Raw genomic sequence first — 1,991 nt, 5'->3', positions numbered from 1 at the left:
TGCATTGCTCAGGTGATTTCTGAGATGAGATGCATCAGAATCCGTGCATATCTTTTGTGGTTCCAGATAACAGCCTACTTCACTAAAAAAAATCTTCCAGAATCATTAAGAGCATTAATTTTCAAAACTGTAGAAGGACTATGGACATCTTGTGCTTTTAGAGAATGAACACACAACACATTTTCTGTTATATCAGAGCTTACAGCTTCTATCAATTAAGAAAGTATGGCTCCACTCAATGAGCTATAAAGTGATAGCACAAGAAGGACTTTAGGAATCATTGAGCTCCCTTATCTCTTTGGACAGATGAGCAAACTGAGACCCAAACAGGAGAGGAGAGGACAAAGTCTTACCCTGGTCGCCTACTGAATTTGTGGCAGGGTCAAACAACATTTATCCCAGATTCTCAACTGACATTTCCTTATACTGTCTTCATTTTGACCATTAGCTTGTCAGCTTAAAGGATTCAATTAATTCAAACAGGATCTTGTAATTAAAAAAAATAGAAAATACAAAATACAAAATCAGACTAACTTTCCGTGAGTCACTTTTCCAAAATGTTTTGTATCAATGTGTAACAAACGAGGCAAATATATGAGTTGTAGCAGGACCACAGCCAAGATTCTCAAAGTAGGGGTGGTGGTGGTGGGGGGGGGGCTGTATTTGGGAACCCCTGATACAGAAGAATCGGTTGCAGAGTCTCTTTTAGTAAATCGTTGTTTATAAGTTCCCTCTTAAAGAGAATGAAAAATTAAGACTTCATGCAAACCACAGAACAAAAGTTGAGACTTCCAGTGAAGCAAGAAAGCAGAGACTTTTAAAAAATGAGAGTGGGGGGTGGGAGGAAGGAAAGGGATTCTTAATGGTATATTGTTTTCTGAGCTCTACCAATTAGCAAACATCTCTTATAAAAGGAAGAAAGAGGGAAGGAATTTCATGCACTGAAATAGCCCCAGTCAGCTGCAAACGCTCCAGGCTTCTGCAACAAGGCTTTCATCCCCCCTCCCTAACTCTGGCCATTACATCAGTCCAAGTGCATCCTGGGGCTATTGTCATGCTGATGAGACAGCCCCTGAGACTGGATTCTCCCACTGCCCGGGGAGACATTCCCACCGCAGACTGGCTCTGGGGCTCATTCAAGCTGTGCTGAATTGCCCTGGAGAATAAAAGATGCAGCCTTAATTAACCACTGCGCTCAGCTCCCAATCACAGCTTGATTGTTTTGCTGGCTGCACTCCCTGCTAAAGAGGAAATGCCAGGGCTCCTGATGCAGACCCAGCGCTGGGAAGTAGGGCTCTCCTTAGGGAGCTGGAGTTGGGTTATGTCTTGTTTTGAAAATAAAATATCTTAGAGTATTATATCGCTGTATCACTGAAGTCCTGTTTTGCAGAGAGAAACAAACCTCAGTGTCTATTATTTCCCGGCCCTGCTCCTGGGATCCACCCTCATACATCTCCCACTAAGGGTCTTTCTTGCATTTTATAACTCTGGCAGAGATCTCCAGTTTATTCTCAGCACTGTATTTCATTTTCATACTGGAGAAAAGAAAAGACCCTGATCAATACTGGGGAATCAATACTGGGAAAAAGAAAAGACCCTGATTTTAAACAATATATATTAATACATACATGCATATCTGTATATGCATGCTTACATGTATATACATTTTTCTAATATATAATTTATACATATATATTTAGGGACTTGGGGCTTGATCTCTTTTTTGTTACTTTCTTTGCAACCTCTTCACCAAGAGGTTGGGTAGGAAATCAATAATGGTCACGTCTTTTTACTCTGTGACACTTCACCTTTGCTCCTCCCTAAAATCATAGCCATTGGCTTGATTTCTTACAGTTGAGCTCTGTTCCCTCTAATTACCGTAGAAAAAAAGGGTGTTCTTAATGGTGTATCAGAAAAAATTGAATACAGAAGTTTTAAAGATGCTGCAGCTGGTGGGGCTTACAATCTCTGAGTTCTGGATGCTGGTGACT

General features: G+C 40.8%; 1 annotated feature.

The window, feature by feature from the left end:
- Nucleotides 748-1,367: an enhancer, noted in NCBI's record as "OCT4-NANOG hESC enhancer chr17:69824267-69824886 (GRCh37/hg19 assembly coordinates)". NCBI's record gives its function as "activates a minimal SCP1, AML or CMV promoter by ChIP-STARR-seq in naive and primed H9 embryonic stem cells {active_cell/tissue: H9 hESC(naive and primed)}" and the evidence as "EXISTENCE:reporter gene assay evidence [ECO:0000049][PMID:30033119]".

The sequence above is a fragment of the Homo sapiens genome, chromosome 17, assembly GCF_000001405.40.
Source record: "Homo sapiens chromosome 17, GRCh38.p14 Primary Assembly".
Classification (NCBI taxonomy): Eukaryota; Metazoa; Chordata; class Mammalia; order Primates; family Hominidae; genus Homo; species Homo sapiens.
Note: the sequence above shows the minus strand (reverse complement) of the source record. Positions and strands in the feature narration are given on the sequence as shown.